The sequence below is a fragment of the Homo sapiens genome, chromosome 19, assembly GCF_000001405.40.
Source record: "Homo sapiens chromosome 19, GRCh38.p14 Primary Assembly".
In the NCBI taxonomy this organism is placed as follows: Eukaryota; Metazoa; Chordata; class Mammalia; order Primates; family Hominidae; genus Homo; species Homo sapiens.
In genome coordinates, this window is record NC_000019.10 from 35,215,950 (window position 1) to 35,241,973 (window position 26,024).

Below are 26,024 nucleotides of genomic sequence, written 5' to 3' on the forward strand. Positions count from 1 at the left end.
ATACAGAAAGCTCTTGGGGGCTCAAATAACAGAAAGGGAAGCTATATGAGAAGCTGAGGGAAGCTAAGGAGAGGAACAGAAGTGATACAGCAGGGTGTGGTGGCTCACGCCTGTAATCCCAGGTCTTTGAGAGGCTGAGGTGGTGGACCACTTGAGGTCAGGAGTTCGAGACCAGCCTGGCTAACATGGTGAAACCCCATCTCTACTAAAAAAAAAAAAAAATTAGTCAGACGTGGTGGCATGCATGTGTAATCCCGGCTACTCAGGAGGCTTAGTCAGGAGAATCACTTGAACCTGGAAGGTGGAAATTGCAGTGAGCCAAGATCATGCCACTGTACTTCAGTCTGGGCGACAGAGCAAGACTCCATTTCAGAAAAAAAAAAAAAAAAAAAGAAGTGATACAGCTTAAGAGAGTAGGCCATGTGGAGGCCACATGCATCATGGGTTAGAATCCAGGCTGTTACTGAGAGCTTGTGGTAGGATGTTGCAGAATGGACACACTCTTTCATGCCTCCTTGTGTACATTCTTACAAGGTGACTTTGCCACTCTTCCCATCAAGGGATGGAGTCTGTGTCTCCACCCCTTGAATCTGGGCTGACCTTGTAATTTCTTTTGGCCAATCAAACATGGTGAAAGTAATGCTGTGTTAGTTTCAAGCCTAGACTTCAAGAAACCTTGCCGCTTCCATGTACTCTCTTAGTTGATCTTGCCATGACCTTGTGAACATGACCGGGCTAGCCTGCTGGAGGATGAGAGGCTGGAGGCTCCCCAGCGAACTGCCCATCCAGCCCCCTGAGGCAGAGCCACCTAGCTACACAGTGCTGGCCACAGATACATGAGTGAGCCCAACCTACATTACCAACCTGCAGAATGGACAGATAAATCCATCAATGTTGTTTTAAGCCATTTTAGATGATTTCTTAGGCAACAGTAGAGAACTGCTTTGTCTGGTTTAACTCAACCTTGCCCAAGGGCCTTCCAAAACCCTGACCTCCAGGTCACATGACAAGGTGAGGCCTCTACATCCCAGTCCCTGGTGATACTGTGCTAGTTTGGAGGCTGGGTCTCAAGTGACCTTGCAACTTCCATTCACTTTCTTGGACTCCTGCCACCACCTTGTGGACACACCTGGGTTGGCCTGCTGGAGGATGAGAGAGCAGGTGGAGGAGAACCCAGCGGCTCCAGCTGATGACATCTGGTCCAGCCTACAGAGAGCCAACTATCGAGTCAGCCAAGATCAGCAGAGCCAACCCCAATTCACTGCTGCTGATCAGAGAAGCAAGAATGATCACAGCTGAAACCAGAACTGCCCAACTAATTTGTAGACTTGTAAGCAATAATGAATGCTTACAATTATTATTAAACAATAATTTAAATCTCTGACTTGGGGGATGTTTTGTTTGCAGCCATAACTGATACACTAACCGATACACTTTGTAAACATGGGCAAATAAACTCACATCTCTGTGCCAGAGTTCCTCTTGTGAAAAACAGGAACCATTTGGGATGGTCATGAGGATGTCATGAGCTCATGATCCTAAAACTCTTGGCACAGAGCCTGGCTGTCTTACTCTGTTCAGGCTGCTATAATAAATTATAGCCTAGGTGGCTATAGCCTAGCCATAGCCTAGGTGGCTTCAACAACAAACATTTATTTCTCACAGTTCTGGAGGCTGGGAAGTCCAAGATCAAGGTGCCAGAAGTGATGTATGATGAGGGCTGTTCCCTGGTTTGCAGATGGCCATCTTCTTGCTGTGTCCTCACATATCAGAGAGCAGAGAGAGAAAAGGCAAGCTCTTTGGTGTCTCTTATAAGAACACTAATCCTATCATGAGGGCTCCACCCTCATGACCTAATGACCTCACAAGAGCTCCCCTGCAACACTATGCCATTGGGGGTTAAGATGTCAACATGCAAATTTCTGAGGAGACATGCAGTCCATAACATTGGCAGAGAGTGAACACTCAATTTAAAAAGAGGTAAAATGAAAGGCAGAGAGACAGTTGAATAACACCCTGCCCACCATGAACCTTTTTGCCTTGTCCAGACAGCTGTGGGTCATTTTTCTTTCTTTCTTTCTTTCTTTTCTTTTTTTTTTTTTTGAGACAGAGTCTCGCTCTGTCACCCAGGCTGGAGTGCAGTGGTGCAATCTCAGCTCACTGCAAGCTCCACCTCCCGGGTTCACGCCATTCTCCTGCCTTAGCCTCCCGAGTAGCTGGGACTACAGGTGCCCACCACCATGCCCGGCTAATTTTTTGTATTTTTAGTAGAGACGGGGTTTCACCATGTTAGCCAGGATGTTCTCAATCTCCTGACCTCGTGATCCGCCCACCTCGGCCTCCCAATGTGCTGGGATTACAGGCATGAGCCACCACACCTGGCCAGCTGTGGGTCATTTTAGTGTAGCCTCCCAATGGCCCATAGGTCCCCAGCCTCTTAGCCCTTCATATCACCAACACAGAGACATTCCTTGGTGGCAGAACAAAAACCCTTGGGAATAAGAACCACGACCTGGTAATCTGAGACCTACCGATTCAGAACAGGTAGCAGCACATTGTTGTAAAAAGCTCTGGATTCAGTTAGACCTGGGTTATGATCCAATCTCTGCCGTTTACCTGACATGTGATATTGAGCAATCAATGCAACCATTCCAATCTTCCATTTTATCCCTGTAAAATAAGGATAATTGTACCTACCTCCCAGGAGTCTTGCTCAATCATTTCTTCCTTCAGTTTAGTATTTTTTTATTTTTTATTTTTTTAAACAGAGTCTCACTCTGTCACCCAGGCTGGAGTGCAATGGCCTCCAGCTCACTGCAACCTCCGCCTCCCAGGTTCAAGCAATTCTGATGCCCCAGCCTTCCGAGTAGCTGGGATTACAGGCCTGTGCCACCACGCCTGGCTAATTTTTGTATTTTTAGTAGAGACAGGGTTTCACCATGTTGGCCAGGTGGTCCGGAACTCCCAACCTCAGGTGATCTACCCACCTTGGCCTCCCAAAGTGCTGGGATTACAGGCATGAGCCACCACGCCCAGCCCTTCAGTTTACATTTATTGAGGTCTTACGTTGTTCCAGCTCTTTCAGAATCTGGGGATACAATGGAGAACAACAACCACAAATTCCTGACCTCATGGAGCTCTCAATTTGTAGCTTAAAGAAAAATACTAATCTGATAGTGACAGAAACAGTGAAAAATTGCAAAAGAGACAAGTGTTTTGGAAGGAGAATGTATCAGTCAGAATAGGCTGGGTTATGCTGTGGTAACAAACATCCCCCAAGTCTTAGCACCTTATAATAACAAAAGTTTACTTTTTATCTGTCACATCTATTGTAGGTCAGTTTCACTTCTCCTCCTTTTCAATCCAGGCTGGCAGAATGGTCTCCAACTCAAGAATTGTGGGCTCTGTGCAGAGGGAAAGAGAATCCTAGAGTATCTTTGCCCAGGCAATTAAGTGCTCTGGCCTAGAAGTGACTGTATTACTTCTGCCCACACTTCATTGGCCAGAACTAGTTGCAAGGCCCCACCCAACCATAAGGAGGACCAGAAATGGCATTCCGTCCTATGCTTGGAAGGGAGAGAGCCAGGGGGATTCAGGGAGCAGCACTAATGACCATTCTGAAAGCATATGTGTGATGGGAAGACTTCCATGAGGCAATGATGCTTGAAGTATAAGAGCAGTTAACTAAGAGAAGGGGAAAGTAAGAGTTTTCTAGGTTGGAGGGCACAGCATATAGTGAGGAGAGTAATGAGTAGAAACAGCTTATGCAACCAGTTTGATTGGAGCTGGAAGGAGCATGTGTGGTGCAAGGAAAAGGGAAAAGCGAGCAGTCATCCATCGTGCAGTAAAGAGGTTTTCTTTTTGAGACAGAGTCTCACTCTGTTGACCAGTCTGGAGTGCAATGGTGTGATCTCGGCTCACTGCAACCTCCACCTCCTGGGTTCAAGCAATTCTCCTGCTTCAGCCTCCCAAGTAGCTGGGGTTACAGGCACCCACCACCATGCCTGACTAATTTTTCGTATTTTTAGGAGAGACGGGGTTTCGCCATTTTGGCCAGGCTGGTCTCCAACTCCTGACCTCAGGTGATCCACCCGCCTCAGTCTCCCAAAGTGCTGAGATTACAGGTGTGAGCCACCGCACCCTGCCTGTAAAGAAGTATTAATAGATGCCAATGAACTTCCTATGTCTGAACAAGGAAATGATAAGTATATACAAGTTTTAGGAATTCAGAGAAGTCCATATTATTCTCAGGTCAACAAATTATTTGTACAAGGAATCAGAATTACAGATTCTTTTTTTTTAGTGGTTAGAATTGCTTTCACAGGACATGGCCACAATTTCTGAATCCCCACCTGGGCGTTAATTGGCCAGATGGCCAACAATTTACCTCCTCTTCCTGGGCACACAGGCAGCCATATTTCCCAGCTTGCTTTGCAGTTGAGGAGGGGTCATGTGACTGCGTTCTGGCCAATGAAATGTTCTGGCCAGTGGACAAAACAGATGACACTTCTAGGCCCAGCTCTACCCTTCATACTCAGTTCCATGTTCTCTCTGTCCATTGTGTGGTGACCTTGGAAGCCAGTACTTCAGATGGCAGCCTGCATTCCTGAGTTATCTGAATCAAGTGAAAGAAAGCCACCTGAGCTGAGACTATGAGGTTGAAACCATGCCCCAAAGAGTTAAAAGAAATCAGTAACTAACAGAAATTCTTGAGTTTGCAGGATGGCAGATAAGAACAACTTGCGGAAATGTGAACCACTCCCTCCACTTATGAGATAAAAGAACTGGCTGAAATCAACTGGAAACAATATGGCTAAGTGGAGTCTGTGCAGAACCAGTTTGCTGAAGTCACAGCCCAAAGTTTCATACTAACCCGTCAAGTTTGCACATGGGACCCCCTAAGGAGGCATGAGAGAGAACTATGCATGCCTGAGGACTTTCCAGACCTCCCCTTGGCTTCCACCAATCACTAGCTAATCCCAGAATCCACCCCCTAACCTTTCCTGGTAAAATTACTGCCTTAAAGCCAGCATAGGGAGACAGATTTCAGTGGGACTCCTGTCTCCTTGGAAGTTAACCTGCAATATAAAGCTTTTATTTTCTCAAAAACCTCATGCCATAGTATTGGCTTGTTGTGCATCTGGCAGCAAACCCCTTTTGCTTGATACTAATGTAAGCAGGAAACAAACCTCTGTGTTTTATTCTGGAGCGTATTTATTGCTGCAGTGGAGCCTATCCTATACTGACTAATACAGAGTAACAAATGAGACTCCTTCAATAGCAGTAGGATTTGCCAAGACAATTTTTTTTTTTGAAATGGAGACTTGCTCTGTTGCCCAGGCTGGAATGCAGTGGTGCAATCTCGGCTCACTGCAACCTCCACCTCCTGGGTTCAAGTGATTCTCCTGCCTCAGCCTCCCCAGTAGCAGGGATTACAGGCACATGCCACCACACCTGGCCAACTCTTGTATTTTTAGTAGAGGCAGGGTTTCACCATGCTGGCCAGGCTGGTCTCGAACTCCTGACCTTGTGATCTGCCTGCCTCAGCCTCTCAAAGTGCTGGAATTACAGATGTGAGCCACTGTGCCTGGCCTGCCAAGACAATTTTATGATGCAGAAAGTATCTGTATTCGGGGTTGTCATGTGGAGTTGTACAAGTTGAGCACTGCCCGACATGTCCAGCCAAGGGATGAGGGGAACCCACTCCATGCTCCACTCACCAGGCCTTTATACAATTTGTTCTAAGGTGACAATTTGTTCTAAGGTGATATAGACAATTTGTTCTAAGGTGACAGCTTTAGAAAGAAAGGGAATATTTTCTCCTTTTCTTTCTCTGGCAGAGTAGAAGAGCCGTATAGCAAGGCTAAGTACTGGAATTGCATTTATAAGCAATTATTTTTTTCCCCAAAAACATAGGCCTAAGAAGTTAAAAAATTACAATAAGAAAAGGAAGAGGGAAGAATAGGATGGTTAAAAATGGAATCTGGGGCGTGTTTTGTCTTACGCTGTACTCTGTTGTGCAGGGGAGGGTGGCAAGGCTGGGCCTGACCATGTCTCCTGCTTGGTGAGGAAAGTTTCTTATTGTACAGCTGGCCACACGCAAAGCGGCTGCTACTCCCTGCTGCAACCTGGGGGGCAACCCACCCTTACCTGTAAGGAACCCCACCTTGTCAGAATCACTTTTTTTTTTTTTTTTGAGATGAAGTCTATCTTTGTTGGCCAGGCTGGAGTACAGTGGCGCAATCTCGGCTCACTGCAACCTCTGCCTCCTGGGTTCAAACAATTCTCATGTCTCAGCCTCCCAAGTGCTGGAATTACAGCTCCGCCACCACGCCTGGCTAATTTTTGTATTTTTCGTATAGATGGGTTTTCACAGTGTTGGCAAGGCTGGTCTCGAACTCCTGACCTCAGGAGAATCGCCATTTTAAGTGGACATCAGGTCATGTCTCTCCACTGCTCAAAACCCTCACGTGGCTCCCATTTCATTTCAAATAAAGCCCACAGCTGCTATCCTGGCCTACAGAGTCCCACACACTCTCGGCCCTGGTGACCTCCTTGATGTTCTCTCCACAGTTGCCTTCCTGTCCTAATCAGCTCCGTCCACCAAGTAGACACCCAGCCCCAGAGCCCTTATATACGCTGCCTGTGCCTGCAACTGCTTGGGGTAGGCTGAATAACACCTCCCAAAGATGTCACTCTAATCCCCAGCACCTGTGAATGTTACCCCTGGGGACCTGCAAGAGGATGTGTAGAGTGTGCCTTACAGGGGTGAGGAAGCTGGGTGCTCCCGTTCCCATCCCTCGAGGTTAAGGACTGCTCCTGGGGTGTCAACTGCCCAGCTTCTAGCCTGCTCCATGAGTGGCCCAGCAGGCTTCTGGTATGAGTTAGGAAACCCCTGGCACCCACTGGAATCATGCCCATGACTGCTAAAGCTGCAGGGGACTTCCAGGTCTTTTCAGGGATATGGGTGAGTGTATTTGTTGTCTGTTGCTGCAAAGCAGATTGCCAGAAATTCAGTGGCTTAAAACAACACACGTCTATGATCTCACAGTTTCTGTGGATCAGGAGTCCAGGCACAGCTTAGCTGAGCCCTCCATCTGAGGTCTCAGAAGGCTGCTGTCAGACACGGATCAGGCTGCACTTTCATCTGGAGGCTCGACTGGGGATGAATCTACTTCTGAGTTCATCCAGGTTATTGGCAGAGTTCGTTTCTCTCTGGCTGTGTGACTGAGGGTCCTGGCCTTTTGCTTGCTGTCAACTGGGAGCCTCCCTCAGGTCCTAGAGGCCACTTGCATCTCCTGGAGGCCACCCACAGCTCCCTACCACGTGGACTTCCTCAATGTGGCTGCTTACTTCATCAAGCCAGCAAGGCTCCCTCCCTCTGATCTTCTAAGACAGAGTCTTAGATAACATAAGGCAAGCTAGGGAGTGACAGCTCAACACCTTTACTGTGTGCTATTGGTTAGATGCAAGGTCACAGGTCTGTCCACACTGGAGGAGAGGGGATCATACAAGGCATGGACACCAGGAGGTGGGAAGTCACTGGGGTCACCTTAGGAGCTGCCCTGACAGCCTTGGAGCACTGGGGCACTGACAGCCTCTGCTATGGGTTGTGAGACTTCAGTGCTGCGAAGAACAAACCCCTTGAGTGTGGGACCCGTGCTTGACTCTCTCTGTCCCACCTCCAGCTCCCATACAATGGGGGCTTCTATGGGTTGCAGGCATTGGGGGGCTCCCTGGGACCTGGGGTGGGCGCTTCAGGTCTCCTTTCACCTTCCAACCACTGGCCCCTTCCCAAGCTCACTGTGTGACCTCAGGCAAGTTGCTTGAAGCTTCTGAGTCTTGATGTTCTCAGCTGCAAAACAAGGTTAACAGTAGCACCAGCCTCTTGGGTGATCGTGGGGACATAGCACTTACAAAGGGTTTGAGTTTTGACCTCACCAGGAAGTCCCCAAATGTTTGCTATGATTATCATTATTATTGTCTACCTCTGGTTCCCAGGGAGGCCTCTTTAGTTCTCAGGGAACGCTCCCTCATTCTGCAGGAATCTTTGAGCATCTGGGCACCACATGAAGCCTTAAGTGTTTTGGCAACAGTGTCTGGTACACGAAGGATGAGCCCTGCCCTATCCTGGGGGCAGAGGTTCTGTTCTGGGAGAGTTTCATCTCTGTCCAGTCATGGCTTCACTGCACTATTAGGGCAATGAATTTTAATGGCATGAATTATTTTTCACTCTTGCACTCTGCTGAACAGTGTGTGATTTCTGGGAACAGTCAGGCCTGGTGATTCCTGCAGGTCAGCTGAGCCAGGCCTGGCACCTTGTACCAGCAAAAGGGCCTGTCTCCCCTTCCAAGGGCCTGAGGGGCCTCACTCCACCACAAGAGCCTGGAAAAGTGGCGCGTGTCTGGCAGTGCCTCTGACTTGGGGAGTGGTGGCTGGGCCTGAAGGCCTGGGCACAGTGGGGAGGGTGGGCAAGGGATGGGCAGGAAAAGACAGCAGGGCCCAGGGCAGATCTGGGGAGCCTAGAGGTGTCCTGCTCATATCCCCCATCTTGTAGTTGGGGGAATGGGATGAGTGAGGAGGCTATGAGTTACCACCTTTAGGGAGACACCCCAAGAATGGCCTGGTTCCATCTCTCCCTCCTTCTGAAGAACACAGGGCTTGGGACAGGCAACCTGGTTTGAACTAGAATCACCAGCCTCAGTTTCCTCATCTGTTCTATGGAAATTACTAATGAGTTAACAGAGCAGCACCTGACCCAGGGAAGAGCTCGGTCACCCTGGGCTACGGGGCACCGGGGCGGAAGTGACAGAAGGGGCGGCTGTGGCTAAGAGAGAACCGGAGGCCGGGTCCGCTTGTGCACCGGGGGCTCGCTTTATTTCACCACCAGCACCTGTGTGCTTCTCCTGCCCGGGGAAGGGTGGATGCACTTGAGCAGCGCCCCCAGCAGGGCCAGGACGGTGACCACGAGCAGCACCAGCTTCAGCCCCTTGAGCACGGAGTCCGCCCTGCCCCGCAGGGCCTTCCTTGCCTCCCGCCACTGGGCATCGTTCTCTCTCCACTGAGCCTCCAGCGTCTCCAGACTGGCGGCGGGTTTGAACTGGGCCACGAGCTCCTGCTGCACGAAGCACTTGTAGACGGCCGGCTGGAAAACCTGCAGCTGCCTGCCGCCGGTGGAGGGGTCCAGAAAGGTGGTGAAGTCCTGGCCGGAGAGCTGGCTCTCCCACGTCAGGGGGGTGTCGTTGGCACGCCAGTTGACGGGCCTGCGAGGAGGACAAGGTCAGGTGCAGGGCCAGGGAGAAAGGAGGGACCGACGTCTCCCTGAGGAACAGAAAATAAAGCACCGCCCAGTCCCCCTCCTCGCCACCCCCCACGGAGCACTGTGCAGCCGTCAACAGTGGGGTGGAGGAGGCACAGCTGGGGGCTCCCAGGGCTCCACCCGTTACTGGCCCCACCCCTTACTGGCTCCCCTCTTCCTGGCTCCACCCCTTACTGGCCCCACCCCTTACTGGCTGGGTGACCTGGGCAAATGCCTCCAGCTCTTTGAACTTCCATTTCTTTATGTAAAACTAAGAGTCTAGACCAGGCTTGGTGGCTCACACCTGTAATCCCAACACTTTCAGAGGCAAAGGCAAGGAGGATGGCTTGAGCCCAGGAGTTCAGAACCAGCCTGGACAACAAAGCAAGAACCCATGTCTGCAAAAATTTAAAAAATTAGCTGGACATGCTGACATGCGCCTGTGGTCCTGGCTGCTCAGGAGGCTGAGGTGGGAGGATTACTTGAGCCCAGGAGGTTGAGGCTGCAGTGAGCCAGTCACAGCACTGCACTCCAGCCTGGGTGACAGAGCAAGACCCTGTCCCAAAAAAGAAAACAACAAACCAAAAAAAATGGAGAGTAATGATTGTACCTCATAAGGTTATTTGGAGGAGTTAGCAAGGGCACTCCTTAAATGATTTGTCCACCTGCCTTTGCCTGTCTGGTCTCATCTCCTTCACTCTCCCCTTTACTCACTCTGCCTAGCCACGCTGCTCTCCTAGATGTTCCTCTGACATGCTGGGTGCAGTCTTGGCCCTGGCTGTTCCCTCTGTCCCCAGGGCTTCCTCGCCTCCTTTCAGTCTGGGCTGAAATGGCAGCTTCTCAGAGGAGCCTTCCCTGACCCCACCACTTGACACTTTTAACCTCCCCTATTCCCAGCATCCCTTCCTGCTCCGTCACCATCCAAAATACTATAGGTCGGGCACAGTGGCTCAGGTTTGTAATCCCAGCACTTTGGGAGGCCGATGTGGGAGGATCACTTGAGCCCAGGAGTTTGGGCTCAGCCTGGGCAACAAAGTGAGACCTCATCTCTACAAAACTTAAAAACTTAGCCGGGTGTGGTAGTGCATGTCTGTAGTCCCAGCTACTGTGGAGGCTGAGATGGGAGAATCACCTGAGCCCGGGGAATTGAGGCTGCAGTGAGCTGTGATTGTGCCACTGTACTCCAGCCAGGGTGAAAGAGCAAGACCCTGTCTCTAATAATAATAACAATAATAATAATAAAACTATATATTTATGCGCCACAAGGGCAAGAATCTCCGTTGGTTGTGTTCTTCACTGTTTCCCAGGTCCCTAGAATGGAGCTTGGCATATAAATATGCAGTGAACACGTGTTTAGTGGAGAAATGAATCAGGCACCGACACACCCAGCGTGGTGGAAGAACAGAGAGGATATTCCACAGACAATATCATAAAAGCTTGCATTCCCAGCTAGGTACATTGTGGAACTTCTTATTGGATGCTATGGCAGGCACTCTACAGTCTTTAGTCCCCTTAACACATCACAATGACCCTGTGTGGCCAGGGGCTGGCAAGACCTCTGCACTGAGTTAGACAGTGGCCCCCGCAAAATGCATGTCCTTCCCAGAACCTCAGAATGTAACATTATTTGGAAATTGGATCATTGCAGATATAATCAGTTGAGATGAGAGCATATTGGAATAAGGTGGGCCCTCAATCCCATCTGACCGGTGTCCTTTTAAGAAAAGGAAAAGAGAGACAGGGACACAGACACCCAGGAAGAATGCCAAGTGATGATGGAGGCGGGCATTGGAGAGAAGCAGCCACAAGCCAGAGAAGACCGGGATCTCTGACTGCATCCAGAAGCTAGAAAAAAGGAGGATTCTGCCCAGCTCACTCAGAGGGACTGAGAGGGAGCGTGGTTCTACTGACACCTTGATTTCAGACTTACGGCCTCCAGAAGGGTGAGACAATGGATTTCTGGGGTTTTTTTGTTTTTTTGTTTTTTGAGTCAGAGTTGTCTCGTGATGTTGCCCAGGCTGGAGTGCAGTGGTGTGATCTCGGCTCACTGCAACCTCCGCCTCCCGGGTTCAAGTGATTCTCCTGCGTCAGCCTCCTGAGTAGCTGGGATTACAGGCACGTGCCACCATACCTGGCTAATTTTTGTATTTCTAGTAGAGACGGGGTTTCACCATGTTGGCCAGGCTGGTCTCGAACTCCTGACCTCAGGTGATCCACCCACCTCGGCCTCCCAAAGTGCTGGGATTACAGGCATGAGCCACCGCGCCCAGCCTGCATTTCTTATTAAGGGGCAGGTGGACTGGGGGAGAGGAGGGGAAGGGGCTATTTTCCAGAGGCTCCTGGCAGGAAGTAAGAAGATGAGTGTGAGTTCTGGGAGGCAGGCCTTGATGGGAAGCCCCGGGGGCACCAGCCTCTCCTCCAAGGTCTCACTGACCTTTCCAGATGAAGCAGGGGCCTGTTGGAGCCCCTAAGCTTCCTGGGCTTCCCCCATCACAGCCCCATCTGTCTGCCTGGGCTTCTCCCATCCCGGCTCGCACCACCCTGGGCTGTGTCCCCCTCGGACTGTTTAAGAGCAGGGCCTGGCACTGTCCTGATGACCACTACGTGGCTGAACTGCAAAGAACGCCCACTCATCCCTCTGCACATATTACCAGGAAGGATCCCCTGACCGGAAGAATCTGGGTAGGGGCCAGAGGCAGGGATTCCATCACCTGTACATGGATCCTAAGGGACAGTCGAGCCACACAAATTCTGTCTTCTCATCGAGCCTGAAGTTGTCAAAAATGACGTAATCCACCCTTAACTGTGTGTTATTGGTGCACTGGACGTGGCAGGCTTCCACCTGCAGCTCAGGCCGCAAGCGGCTAGACCACACCAGCACCTCTCCCAGATAGAGCCAGCAGGGCATGGCTTCCTCCAGAGGCTCCTCAATGTAGCGGTACCCCAGGCGTTTACACTCGCCCGGCTCCTCACAGCGGTTGCAGTCCTGCCAGGGCTCCCACCAGGTAAAAATGAGCTGTTTGCTGCCCAAATGCAGGGTCTCGTTCTGCAGGGGCCTCTGACCCAGGTCCTTGTGTGTTATATGCAGGGTGGTGACATCCTGAAAGTCAATTTCATACTGCACCACTTGGCGGCCATTCTTGTTCCAGCAGTGGTAGAGGCCCGTCTGGGAGGGCAATGGATCTTTAATGAGAAGGCTGCCCTCGGGCATTATTTCCATATTGGAAATATTGGTGAGGCTGGTGAGCCTGCCCTTCTTGCCTTGTGTGAATAAATAGTACCAGTGCGCCCCCGAGGAGTTGCAATACAGGAGAATATCATTGCCTGAGAGTAGGGCCTGTTGGCACTGCTTACCACTGGGGCAGCTGATGGAAAAGTAGAACCCCAGTGCCGGGGCAGCAAAGTGGAGCAGCAGCCACAGCATGGGTGGCATGGTGGACTGGGGCTGTGGCAGTGGGCTGGTGCCACCCCGAACATTGTGAGGTCACCCATGAACTCTGGCCTCAGCCCTGGGCAGTGGGATGAATTGCAGCTACCACATGTGTGTGTGAGGTCACCATCCCCTTTTGTTTTGTGACAAGCTGACAACACTGTTTTTCTTTTTTTTTTTTTTTTCAGACAAGGACTCGCTCTTTTACCCAGGCTGGAAGGCAGTGCTGCAATCACAGCTCACTACAGCCTCAAACTCCTGGAATCAAGTAATCCTCTCACCTCAGCCTGTTGAGTAGCTGGGACTTCAGGTGCATGCTAACCATGCCCAGCTAGTTTAAAATTTTTTCTGTAGAGACGGGGTCTTGTTATGTTGCCCAAGCTGGTCTCGAACTCCTGGCTTCAAGCCATCCTCCCACCTTGGCCTCCCAAAGTGTTGGGATTACAGGCGTGAGCCACTGTGCCCCGCTGACCATATTTAATTTCTATTCCAAGCCCTCCATTTTGCTGGGAAAGGAGCAAACTTAATTTGTCTATTCAGAGTTTTCTCTACTACCTGCCCCGCTTCCTTTCCCAGGGGTGAGACTACATTCCCAGGGATGAAATAAGAGCATGAAGGTGTCACATGTGAACACTCAACACATATTTCCTGAACTCTTACTATGTTCTGGGCACACTTCTTAGCACTGGGGATAAAGCAGTAAACAAATCCTCTCGGGCTGGGCTCGGTGGCTCATGCCTGTAATCCCAGCACTTTTGGGAGGCTGAGGCGGGCGGATCACCTGAGGTCAGGAGTTCAAGACCAGCCTGGCCAACGTGGTGAAACCCCGTCTCTACTAAATAGCTGGGTGTGGTGGCGGGCATCTGTAATCCCAGCTACTCAGGAGGCTGAGGCAGGAGAATCACTTGAACCTGGGAGACGGAGGTTGCAGTGAGCCGAGATCGCACCGCTGCACTCCAGCCTGGGTGACAAGCGTGAAACTCCATCTCAAAAAAAATAATAAAAATTTAAAAAAATTTATCTCTGGTTACTGTTCTGACCTCCTGCACCTTTCCCCCTACTCCCTACCCTCCAACCACGCTGGCCTCCCGCTGTTCCCTGAATCTGTCAGGCAGGCAGAGGGGCTCTTGCCCCAGAACCATTGCACATGCTGGTCCCCGTCTCTTCCCTCAGCCATCTGCATGACTCAATACATCTTCAACAAATATTTTTCTCAGTTGCTCCCTTTCCTTCCATCCCCTTTTCTAAACACCTTCTCAGGCGGTGGCTCACACCTGTAATGCCAGCACTTGCCAGCACTTTGGGTGGCCAAGATGGGAGAATCACTTGAGGTCAGGAATTCGAGGCCAGCCTGGCCAACACGGTGAAGCCCCATCTCTACTAAAAATACAAAAAATTAGCCAGGCATGGTGTCGGGCATCTGTAATCCCAGCTACTCAGGTGGCCGAGGCAGAAGAATAGCTTGAACCCAGGAGGCAGAGGTTGCAGTGAGTGCAGATTGCGCCACTGCACTCCAGCCTGGGTGACAGAGACACTGCCTCAAATAAATAAATAAATAAATAAATAAATTAAATGATCTTCCAGACTTTTCCCAACATAGAAAAAGATGGAAGATTTCTATGAGACTTGCATCACCTTATCTCAAAACCTTATAAGGACATTACAACAAAGAAAAACCTCAGGTCAATCTCTTTTGTCAACACAGACACACTATCCCAAAGAAAATATTGCAAATTGATTCCAGTGATTTTCTTTACACAAGGATAAATATAAAGACCAAATTGGGTTATTTCAGGACGGCAAATTTGGGTTATATTTGCACATCAATTAATGTAATTCACCACATTAACAGAATAAAGGAGAAAAACCATATTATTATCTCAGTAGATACAGAGAATGCATCTGATAAAACTCAACATTCATTTATGGCTCAAAACTTTTGGCAAACTAGGAACAAAAGGAAATTTTCTAAGAAGATAAAGTGTTTCTATTAAAAACCTAGGACAGGCCGGGTACAGTGGCTCACACCTGTAATCCCAGCACTTTGGAAGGCCGAGGCGGGTGGATCACCTGAAGTCAGGAGTTCGAGACCAGTTAGGGTAACATGGCGAAACCCTATCTCTACTAAAAATACAAAAATTAGCCGGGTGTGATGGTGGGTGCCTGTAGTCCCAGCTACTTGGGAGGCTGAGGCAGGAGAATCATTTGAACCCAGGAGGCGAAGGTTGCAGTGAACTGAGATTGCGCCATTGCACTCCAGCCTGGGCAACAGAGTGAGACCCTGTCTCAAAAAAAAAACAAAAAACAAACAAACAAACAAAAACACCTAGGGCTAAATTATACTTCATAGTAAAATACTAAGAATAACACAAGTATTTCTGCCATCAACTTTTCCATTCAGCATTTTACTGGAGGTAAGATACAAGCAAAAAATTAGATATAAGGTCATATATTAAATATGATTTATATACCAGCAACAAAGAATTAAAAGATGAAACTTAAAAGATTACTATAGGATAGTATGAAAAAATTAAATACCTAGGAATAAATATAATAAAAGATATGTGAGTCCTCTACATTAATAACTTCACATTATTGGGAGAAATTAAAGAAAGACTAAACAATGGAAGTATTTGCCACATTCACGGATTGGAAGACTAAATATTGAATATATATTGATTTACCCCAAATTTATCTTTAGATTCAATAAAGTCCCAATTAAAAAAAAATAAGAGTTTTGGGGTGGAAACTACAAACCGATTCCAAAATTTGTATATAATGGGCCAAGAATAACCAAGACAATCTTGAAGAACAAAGTTGGGAAACACTACCACATATTGTGACTTATTGAAAGGTATAAAAAGACACTGTGGGCTGGGTGCAGTGGCTTGTGCCTGTAATCTCAGCACTTGGGAGGCCAAGGAGGGCAGAATCACTTGAGGTCAGGGGTTCAAAACCAGCCTGGCCAACCCCTTCTCTACTAAAAATATAAGAATTAGCCGGGCATGGTTGCGGATGCCTGCAATCCCAGCTACTTGGGAGGCTGAGGCAGGAGAATCGCTTGAATTTGGGAGATGGAGGTTGCAGTAAGCTGAGATTGCGCCATTGCACTTCAGCCTGGGCAACAGAGGGAGACTCCATCTCAAAAATAAATAAACAAATAAAAGGAAAAAAAAAAAAGAAAACCAAAGACACTGTGGCATTGGGACAAGGATGGATAGATAAATTGTATCCAGGGTCCAATCAGGAGACAGAAACATCAGTGTCTACATTGTCATGAGCCCATGGGCCTGAGTAGCTCGGTCTCTAGATTCTACATTTGGCCTCCCCCTGAATATCAGAAGCCTGTGCAGACAAGAACTAGGTCATTGCTGTGTCCCTAACATCACCTGCCCAGGGCACACTCAGAGGAAACACCAGGGAATTCTTCCTGCATGCGCATCTCAGCAAGCCAGTGAGGAGACCTTTTCCTTAGCAGAACCAACATGAAGGCTTATGGGCTGGGAGACGGAGCCCGGTTTTCTGTTGGAAGGTAACCCATGAGCCCAGGTGAACACAGAAAACAAAGTCTGGGTGAGGGTCAAGGGCAGGGCTACGGCCCTGGTCCTGTCACCTGTAGATGGAGGCCAAGGGGCAGGTGAGCCACCTGTTGTTCATCCACTTGCCAGGCTGGTAAAAATCAAAGATGAGGTATGGCTAGTGAATTTCCTTGACGGGGTTGCAGGGTACGTGGCAGGCTTCCACCTGCAGTTCGGGCCGCATGCGGCTGAATTGCATCTTCTCATCTCTCAGATACAGCTGGCAGGGCATAGGTTTTTCCACGGGCTCCTCAATGTAGCAGTACCCCAGGCGTCTGCACTCACCCAGTTCCCCACAGCGGTTACAGTCCTGCCGGGGGTCCCAGTGGGTAAAGATGAGTACCTTGCCATCCAGGATCAGGGTCTCATTCTGCAGGGACTTTTGGTCCAGGCTCTTGTGCGTAACATGAAGGGTGGTGACAACCTGGAAGTCGATCTCGTATTGTACCATGAGGGTATCATCATTGCCCTGGCAGCGATAGAGGCCAGTCTGGGAGGGCTGAGGGTTGGTCAATTGAAGGCTACCCCCAGGCAGTTTCCTTATGTCAGGCATTGAATTAAGCAGAGAAGGATCTTCCCCAAGAATGGAAGAGAAGTACCAGAGTGCCATGGGATGGTCACACTTCAGGACAGCATCACTGCCTGAGAGTAGGGCTCGCTGGCAAAGGTCCTTGTAGGCACAGCTGATTAACATCTAGGCTCACAGAGTGGGGCAAGAAAGGCTAAGCAGCCACAGGGTGTCCAGCATAGTGGACCAAGGCTGTAGAAGGAGGCTAGGAACTCCCTGGCCATTGTGAAGTCACTCACAAAACTCGAGGATCAGCCTAGGCAATGGAATGAAACTTGATCCACTGTGCTTCCAGGAGTACAATTCAGTTCGTGTCATCAAATGGCTTGTCATAGGTTGTAGGGTCGAAGGTCAAATATCCACATGAGCTAGGCAGGAAACAAAATGGGTGAGCTTAAATCAGAACAAACGAACTACAAAGGCAAATTATTGGCCCTCCACATACCCAATATATAATGATGGAATGGGACAAAATGACTTTATGACCATCAGAAAGTGGAAGAAGAGGCAGGGCCCAGTGGCTCACACCTGTAATCCCAGCACACTTTGGGAGGCTGAGGCCGGTGGATCACCTGAGGCCAGGAGTTCAAGACCAGCCTGACCAACATGGTGAAACCCCGTCTAACCCCGTCTCTATTAAAAATACAAAAATTAGCCAGGTGTGGTGGTGCATGCCTGTATTCCCAGCTGCTTGAGAGGCTGAGGCAGGAGAATCTCTTGAACCCGGGAGGCAGAGGTTGCAGTGAGCTGAGATCCACCACTGCACTCCAGCCTGGACAACAGAGAAAGACTCTGTCTCAAAAAAAAAAAAAGAGAAAGAAGAAAGAAAGAGAGAGAGAGAAAAAGAAAAGAAAGAGAGAGAGAGAAAGGGAAGACACACAGAAATCACTGCTCTGTACCACTTCTGCAATCCAGTGGGAAAACATTACAAGGACCCCCTATCTTGTAGATGGGAAAGATTCCTTAACTAGCACCGAAGCAGCTCCTTGTTGTGTGTGGGGAGGGTAGGGGGATTCCCAAATCATTGTTCTCTGTGGGTCATGTCTCACTCTCCAGGGAAATATCTCCTTTTCTCATATTCTCCTTGGCTACATCTGAAGATGTGCCCTCCTTGAGACAACAGCAGTTTACTCAGCCTGCTTTCTATCTCCCACAGTTTGGGACCTACGGTTCTTATAAGCCTCTAGTCAACTAAATATGTAAACAAACAAACAAACAAACAAACAAAAACACACACATAGCCGTAGTTCTGTTCGAGATGTTCTCAGGCTGGGCTCGGTGGCTCACGCCTGTAATCTCAGCACTTTGGGAGGCCAAGGTGGGAGGATTGCTTGAAGCCAGGAGTTCGAGACCAGCCTGGGCAACATGGTGAAACCCTGTCTCTCCTAAAAATACAAAAATTAGCCAGGTGTGGTGGTGGGCTCCTGTAATCCCAGCTACATAGCAGGCTGAGGCAGGAGAATTGCTTGAACCTGGGAGATGGAGGTTGCAGTGAGCCAAGATCACACCACTGCACTCCAGCCTGGGCAACAGCACAAGACTCTGTCTAAAAAAAAAAAAAAAAAAGATGCTCTTATCCTCTCTCTCTTTCTGTCTCTTTCTCATTTCAGGTACCTTAAACTCTATCAGCCATCCTTGGCGAGCTATATCTCTTAACTCTCTTTCATGGAGACATTTGTCCACCTGAAAGCGTTTTCTGGTAGTATCTTAATTCATTCAGAGAATTTTTAAACAATGGGTAATAATTATTTACCTAGGCTTATACTTTTGATTTTATCCTTGTCAAAAGCTGAATTCTAATTGGACTTTATCTCTCAAAGCCCTTCTCAATTTTTAGCTAACTTTGGCCAACTTATACTGCTAACATCTTATATTCCAGCAGCTTCCTTGAAAGCTACAAGTCCATTAAATACATTATCTGCCTTCCAGAGTATCTCAGGCAACAGCCTCCATCCTTCTGGTTTCAAATAAGTGTCTTAGTCCCAAAGGTATCTAAGCCAATGCTGTCTTTTTATTTTTGATTACCTCAGCACCCTACTCCTGATACTATTTTGGTATCAATCTAGATAAGTTATTTGCTACTATAATAAACTTCCAGCCAGGTGTGGTGGCTCACGCCTGTAATCCCAGCACTTTGGGAGGCTAAGGAGGGCAGATCACCTGAGGTCAGGAGTTTGAGACCAACCTAGCCAACCCTGTCTCTACTAAAAATACAAAAAATGACAAAACCCTGTCTTTACTAAAAATACACAAATTAGCCAGGTGTGGTGGCATGCACCTGAAGTCCCAGCTACTTGGGAGGCTAAGGCAGGAAGATCACTTGAACCCGGGAGGTGGATGTTGCAGTGAGCTGAGATCATGCCACTGCACTCCAGCCTGGGTGACAGAGCAAGACTTCATCTAAAAAAAAAAAAAAAAAAATTCCCCCCAAATCTCAACCACATAAAACAACTAAGGTTTACTTTTTACTCATTGTGCATTGGTATTGGAATCACTCAGGAATCCAGGGTGATGGCGCAACTGCCATCTCAAACATTTTCAGTTTCTTCCAAGGAGAAAGAAAGAGCTCTCTGTAAGATTTTGGGTCTACATTAAATGCTTTGCCCTTAAGTAACACATGTCATGTCGCTTGCTCACAAACCATTGGCTAGAAACAGCTACATGGCACCACCAATCCACCAAGCCAACAAAAGAAATTGAACTCTAGCTGGGCGCCGTGCCTCACGCCTGTAATCCCAGCACTTTGGGAGGCTGAGGCGGCGGATCACGAGGTCAGGAGATCGAGACCATCCTGGCTAACACCGTGAAACCCCATCTCTATTAAAGATACAAAAAAATTCGCCGGGCGTGGCGGTGTGCACCTGTAGTCCCAGCTGCTGGGGAGGCTGAGGCAGCAGAATGGCGTGAACCTGGGAGGCGGAGCTTGCAGTGAGCCGAGATCGCGCCACTGCACTCCAGCCTGGGCGACAGAGCAAGACTCCATCTCAAAAAAAAAAAAAAAAAAATGGAACTCTACTATTTCCAGGAATCTTTTGGCAAATGGCAGTAATGATTTCCATGGCTAATGTCTATTACAAGGGATTTTTCCTCTGGTGTTCTCCTTTATATCACAGAGTTAAAACCATTTCCAAAATCCTCACATCAGCTCTCCCCTAAAGTTCTACTGGCCAGGATTGGGGCCCATGCCCAGGTCTAAACCAATCTCTGAAAATAAATGAAGCTTACATCGTTGGCTTAAACCAATTAGAATTTGTTGCCTAGGATTGGGTAAGGTCAGCTTTTTCTTAGCAGAAGCCACTGAAGACCCAGACAAAATCAGGGTTTTGTATGCAGGGGAGTTGTAGAAAAGAATGCTGATTTGGTGTAGCCAACCATGTCTTCCACAGCATTGACTGATGGGAAAATATTAGTTGTACCAGAATTGTGCCAGGCACTGTGTGAGCCACATGACCCCAGGCAAGTTGCTGAGACTTTCCTTTTTTTTTTTTTTTGAGACAGAGTCTCACTCTCTAGCCCCCAGGCTGGAGTGCGGTGGTGCAATCTTGGTTCACTACAGCCTTTGCCTCCCAGGTTCAAGCAATTCTCTTCCCTCAGCCTCCCAAGTAGGTGGGATTACAGGCATGTACCACCATGCCCAGCTGATTTTTGTATTTTTAGTAGAGACGGGGTTTCACCATGTTGACCAGGCTGGTCTTGAACTCCTGACCTCAAGTGATCTGCCCGCCTCGGCCTCCCAAAGTGCTGGGAATACAGATGTGAGCCACAGCACCCGGCCAGAACTACTGGAGACTGGTAAATTTATAAGGAAAAGAAGATTAATTGACTCACAGTTCTGCATGGCTGGGGAGGCCTCAGGAAACTTCCAATCATGGTGCAAGGCGAAAGGGAAGCAGGCACCTTCACAAGGTGGCAGCAAAGAGACAGCAATTAGGGAACTGCCAGCTACTTTTAAAGCATCAGATCTCATGAGAACTCCCTCACTGCACGGGAGAAACCACTCCCATAATCCAATTACCTTCCACTGGGTCCCTCCCTTGACCTGTGGGGATTACAATTCAAGATGAGACTTGGGCGGGGACACAAAACCAAACCATATCACTCATCCACCTTGCACCAGACACCAAGGATCCAGGCTAAGTCCCTGACCTCTTGGAGCTTACATCCTAGTGGGGATGTATTAGTCAGGATAGGTTAAGTTATGCTATGTAACAAAGGATTCTAAAATCTTAGTGGCTTAATAAAATTTTTTTTCATGCGACATGTCCAAATTTGGCTGGGGAGAGCTATACTCCACAAAGTCCCTTCAGATACTGTGGCTAACAGAGGTGGTACCATCTGCAACATCATTAGTTGCTATGGCAGGATAAGGGAGTATAGCAAATCATGAACTGGCAATTGAATGCTTTGGTCAGTGATATGGTTTGGCTGTGTCCCCACCCAAACCTCATCTCATATTGTAGCTCTCATAATCCCCACGTGTCATGGGAAGGACCCGATGGGAGGTAATTGAATCATGAGAGCAGGTTTTTCCCATGCTATTCTCATGATAGTGAATAAGTCTCACAAGATCTGATGGTTTTTTTCTTTCTTTCTTTCTTTCTTTTTTTTTTTTTTTTTTTTTTGAGGGAGAGTCTCACTCTGCTGCTGCCCAGGCTGAAGTGCAGTGGCACGATCTCAGCTGACAGCAACCTCTGCCTCCCTGGTTCAAGCGATTCTTGTGCCTCAGCCTCCTGAGTAGCTGGAATTACAGATGTGCACCACCATGCCCAGCTAATTTTCATATTTTTAGTAGAGAGGGGGTTTCACCATGTTGGCCAGGCTGGTCTTGAGCTCCTGACCTCAAATGATCCACCTGCCTCGGCCTCCCAAAGTGCTGGGATTACAGGCATGAGCCACCATGCCTGGTGAGATCTGATGGTTTTATAAAGGGCAGTTCCCCTACACACAGTTGCTTGCCTGCCGCCATGTAAGACACGCCTTTGCTCCTCCTTTGCCTTCTGCCATGATTATGAGGCCTCCCCAGCCATGTGCAGCTCTGAGTCCATTAAACATCTTTTTCTTTAGAAATTACCCAGTCTCAGATATTTCTTCATAGTAGCAAGCAAATAGACTAATACACAGATGGTAAACAAATAAATGACTAATAAAACATCAGGTCATGGTAAATGCTTTGAAGAAAAAAAGAAGGCGCAAAGAGAGATTGGGGATGGAGACTATTAGGGGATGAATTATGACCCCACAAGTTCATATGTTGAAACACTGACCCCCAATACCTCAGAATATGACTGTATTGGGAAACAGGGCTTTTAAAGAGGTAATTAAGTTAAAATAGGGTTGTTAGAGTGGGTTCTAATCCAATATGACTAGTGCCCTTAAAAGATGAGGGAATTAGAACCCAGGCAGAGGGATGACCATGTGAGGACATAGTGAAAAGGGAACCATCTGCACACCAAGAAGAAAGGCCTCAGAATGAAACCAAACCTGCCAACACCTTGATTTTGGACTTCTAGCTTACAGAATTGCGAAGAAATAAATTTCTGTTGTTTAAACCACCCAGTCTCTGGTGTTTGTTATGGCAGCCCTAGCCAACTAATATAGAGACTATTTTATTTTTATTTATTCATTTGTTTTGAGACAGGGTCTCATTCTGTCACCCAGGCTGGAGTGCAGTGGTGTAATCATAGCTCACTGCAGCCTGAAACTCCTGGGTTCAAGTGATTCTCCTGTCTCAGCCTCCTAAGTAGCTAGGACTACAGGGACGTGCCACCATGCCTAGCTAATTTTTAAAATTTTTGGTAGAGATGGTAGACTGGATAAAGAAAATGTATACACCATGTAGAGGCTTGTCTTAAACTTACAGCCTCAAACTATCCTCCTGTCTCAGCCTCCCAAAGTACTGGGATTACAGGTGTGGGACACCATGCCCAGCCTGTGGGGAGAGAGGTAGGTGAGAAGAGAAGGCTTCTCTGAAGAAGTGACATTTGAGCAGACCTATATAAGATGGTTATGAAGATTCACACAGCGGCTCATGCCTGTGATCCCAGCACTTTGGGAGGCTGAGGCAAGTGGAGCACCTGAGATCATGAGTTCAAGACCAGCCTGGCCAACATGGTGAAACCCCATCTCTACTAAAGATACAAAAATTATCCAGGTGTGGTGGTGCACGCCTATAATCCCAGCTACTCAGAAGGCTGAGACAGGAGAATTGCTTCAACCTGGGAGGTGGAGGTTGTAGTGAGCTGAGATTGTGCCACTGCATTCTAGCCTGGGTGACAGAGTGAGACTCTGTCTCAAAAAAAAAAAAAAAAAAAAAAAAAAATCCAGAGAAAGCAAGGTCTGAACTAAGCACACCGCACATGCAAAGGTCTTGAGGTGGGAACAGGTTTGCTATGTGAATACCCATCAGCCAAAGACAATCAGGCATGCACCTATGAACAAAGTTAGGTTTTTTGACTTGCTGCAGTGAGGGCAGATGTACACCATGGGGAATGGTGTGGTGTCTCAGGAAGGTGTCAGAGAAGACTAACAGAATTTGGGCTGTGTTGTATGATTGTGGGAAGGATTCAAAGAAGTGGGGATTTGCTTTGGGTTGGGTGCTATCAAAAAGTGTAACCAATTCTTTTTTTTCAAACTTTTGATTTTAAGTTCAGGGGTATGTGTGCAGGTTTCTTATAGAGGTAAATTTATATCATGGGGGTTTGTTGTACATATAATTTCATCACCCAGGTATTAAGCCTAGTACCCCTTAGCTATTTTTCCTGATCCTCTCCCTCCTCCCACACTCTACCCTCTGATAGGCTCCAGTGTGTGTTGTTCCCCTTTATGTATTTGTGTTCTCATCATTTAGATTCCACTTATAAGGGAGAACATGCGGTATTTAGTTTTCTCTTTCTGCATTAGTTTGCTAAGGATAATGACCTTCAGCTCCATTCTTGTTCCTGCAAAGGGCATGATTTCATTCTTTTTTATGGCTGCATAGTATTCCATAGTGTATATGTACCACATTTTTTTAATCCAGTCTACCATTGATGGACATTTAGGTTGATCCTATGTCTTTGCTATTGTGAATAGTGCTGCAATGAATATAAGTGTGCATGTGTCTTTATGATAGAACAATTTATATTTCTTTGGGTGTATACCCAGTAATGGGCTTGTTAGGTTGAATGGTAGTTCTGTTTTTAGGTCTTTGAGGAATTGCCACACTGTCTTACATGCTAATTAACACTCCCACCAACAGTGTGTAAGCATTCCTTTTTCTCTGCAACCTCGCCAGCATGTTGTTTTTTGACTTTTTAATAATAGCCATTCTGACTGATGTGAGATGGTATCTCATGGTGGTTTTGATTTGCGTTTCACTAATGATTAGTGATGTTGAGCTTTTTTATATGATTCTTGGCCAGATGTATATTTTCTTTTGAAAAGTGTTTGGTCATGTCCTTTGCCCACCACGAGTGTAACCAATTCTATCTTTTCTAGAAGGTGAGAAGAACGGAGCAAAGCTAAAACTGAAATTGGTAAAGAAACAGCAGCCATTCAGATCAGCTGAGAGAAGGGGATGCTTGATATTTTGTGGTTTGGACAGTGTTCCTGTTTTGTCTCTGTGCAGGCATAATTACAGAGCAGTCTTGTTTCTATCTAGATGCATCAGAGTCACAGACAGGCCTTTGTTGTTGTTGTTCTGTGAACATTGTTCACCTTCAACAGGAGAACATCATGACCTAACAGTGCATTCTAGACAAGCTGCTAGCAACACCAAGACCCAGTTGTTACTGTTAGGCCAGCTCCCAGCTGTTAGAGGCTGCTTTCTCTTTCTTACATAGATGAGGAACTTCAGTGAAGTCTCTTCCAGCAATGAAAGACTGATCAAATGGCTTTCACTCTGTGACCCTCCGTTTCCTTATTTTCAAAGGATTTTAATTGTACTGGCCACATAGTGCTCTTGTGTGGATTTGATGAGATGTTATCTATAAAGTATCAGCCAGTATTATTATCTAGGGGTTAGCAATATGGACTCATCCTCCAAATATCAGAGTTCTGTGTTGGGACTCTGGATTACTACTTCTGATCATGGTTGTGCAGACACAGGGGGTGGGCCATGATTGGCTTAATCCCCACCAGCTGAACTGGCTTCCAGAAGGTATAAAGGGATAGCCACTGGATTTTCTCCCCTTTTGTTCCCTTTGGAAGGTGGACATTTAGGGATTAGGATATTCAAAAGCAACTGTGCATACAAGGGAATTTAGAAAGTCACTGCACAAGCTCAGGGAAAGATGCAAATTCAGAAAAGACCTAAGATGATCATAAGCTTTCATTTTAGGTTGATTCTAGCACAGATACATCTTATAACAATAAACAAACAAAAAAACCAGCAAACCCTGGGGAATGGGGAAAAGCTGATTTCCAGAGTTAGCACATTGTAAGATTCAAATGTCCATTTTCAACAAAAAAGTCACAAGACATACATACAAAGAAACAAGAGAGTATGGCCCATTCAAAGAAAAAATAAATAAACAATACCTGAGGAAGCCCAGGTGGTAGACTTACTAGACAAAGACATAAATAACTGTCTCAAAGATGCTCAAACAGCTAAAGGAGACATAGACGAAGACAGAAAAATGATGTATGAACAAAAGAAGAATATCAGCAAAAAGACAGAAAATGCAAAAAGGAACCAAAAGGAAAATTCTGGAGCTAAAAATACAATTAACTGAAATAAAAAATTCACTGAAGGGGCTCAAAAACAGATTTGAGCAGGCAGAAGAAAAATCAGCAAACTTGGTGACAGGAAAATTTATTGAGTCTGAGGGACAGGAAGAAAAAAGATTAAAGAAAGCTGAACAGAGCCTAAAGGATCTGTGGGACACCACAGAGGAGACCAACATACATATTATGGGAGGTCCAGAAGGAGAAGAGAGAGAAAAAGAGGAAGAAAGAATTGTAATTTTAAGAAATAAGATTGAAAACTTCCCAAATTTGATGATAGACATGAATCAACAAATCTAAAAACTCAATAAACTCCAAGTATGAAAAACCCAGAGATTCAAGCTGAGACACATTATAATCAAACTGTAAAAAGCCAAAGCCAAAGAAACAATCTTGAAAGCAGCAAGAGAGAAGCAACTTGTTACATTCAAGAAATCCTCAATAAGA

General features: G+C 47.3%; 1 protein-coding gene and 1 pseudogene across 1 annotated transcript; both read right to left on the reverse strand.

The window, feature by feature from the left end:
• Positions 1-8,850: 8,850 nt before the first annotated feature.
• On the reverse strand, positions 8,851-12,790 carry FAM187B (family with sequence similarity 187 member B). The gene is made up of 2 exons (NM_152481.2): positions 12,010-12,790; positions 8,851-9,263 (listed from the first exon to the last, which is right to left on the reverse strand). Exons 1-2 carry the CDS (start codon positions 12,729-12,731, stop codon positions 8,876-8,878), a joined length of 1,110 nt encoding a protein of 369 aa, NP_689694.1. The 5' UTR covers positions 12,732-12,790; the 3' UTR covers positions 8,851-8,875.
• FAM187B2P (family with sequence similarity 187 member B2, pseudogene) lies at positions 16,341-17,054 on the reverse strand (annotated as a pseudogene).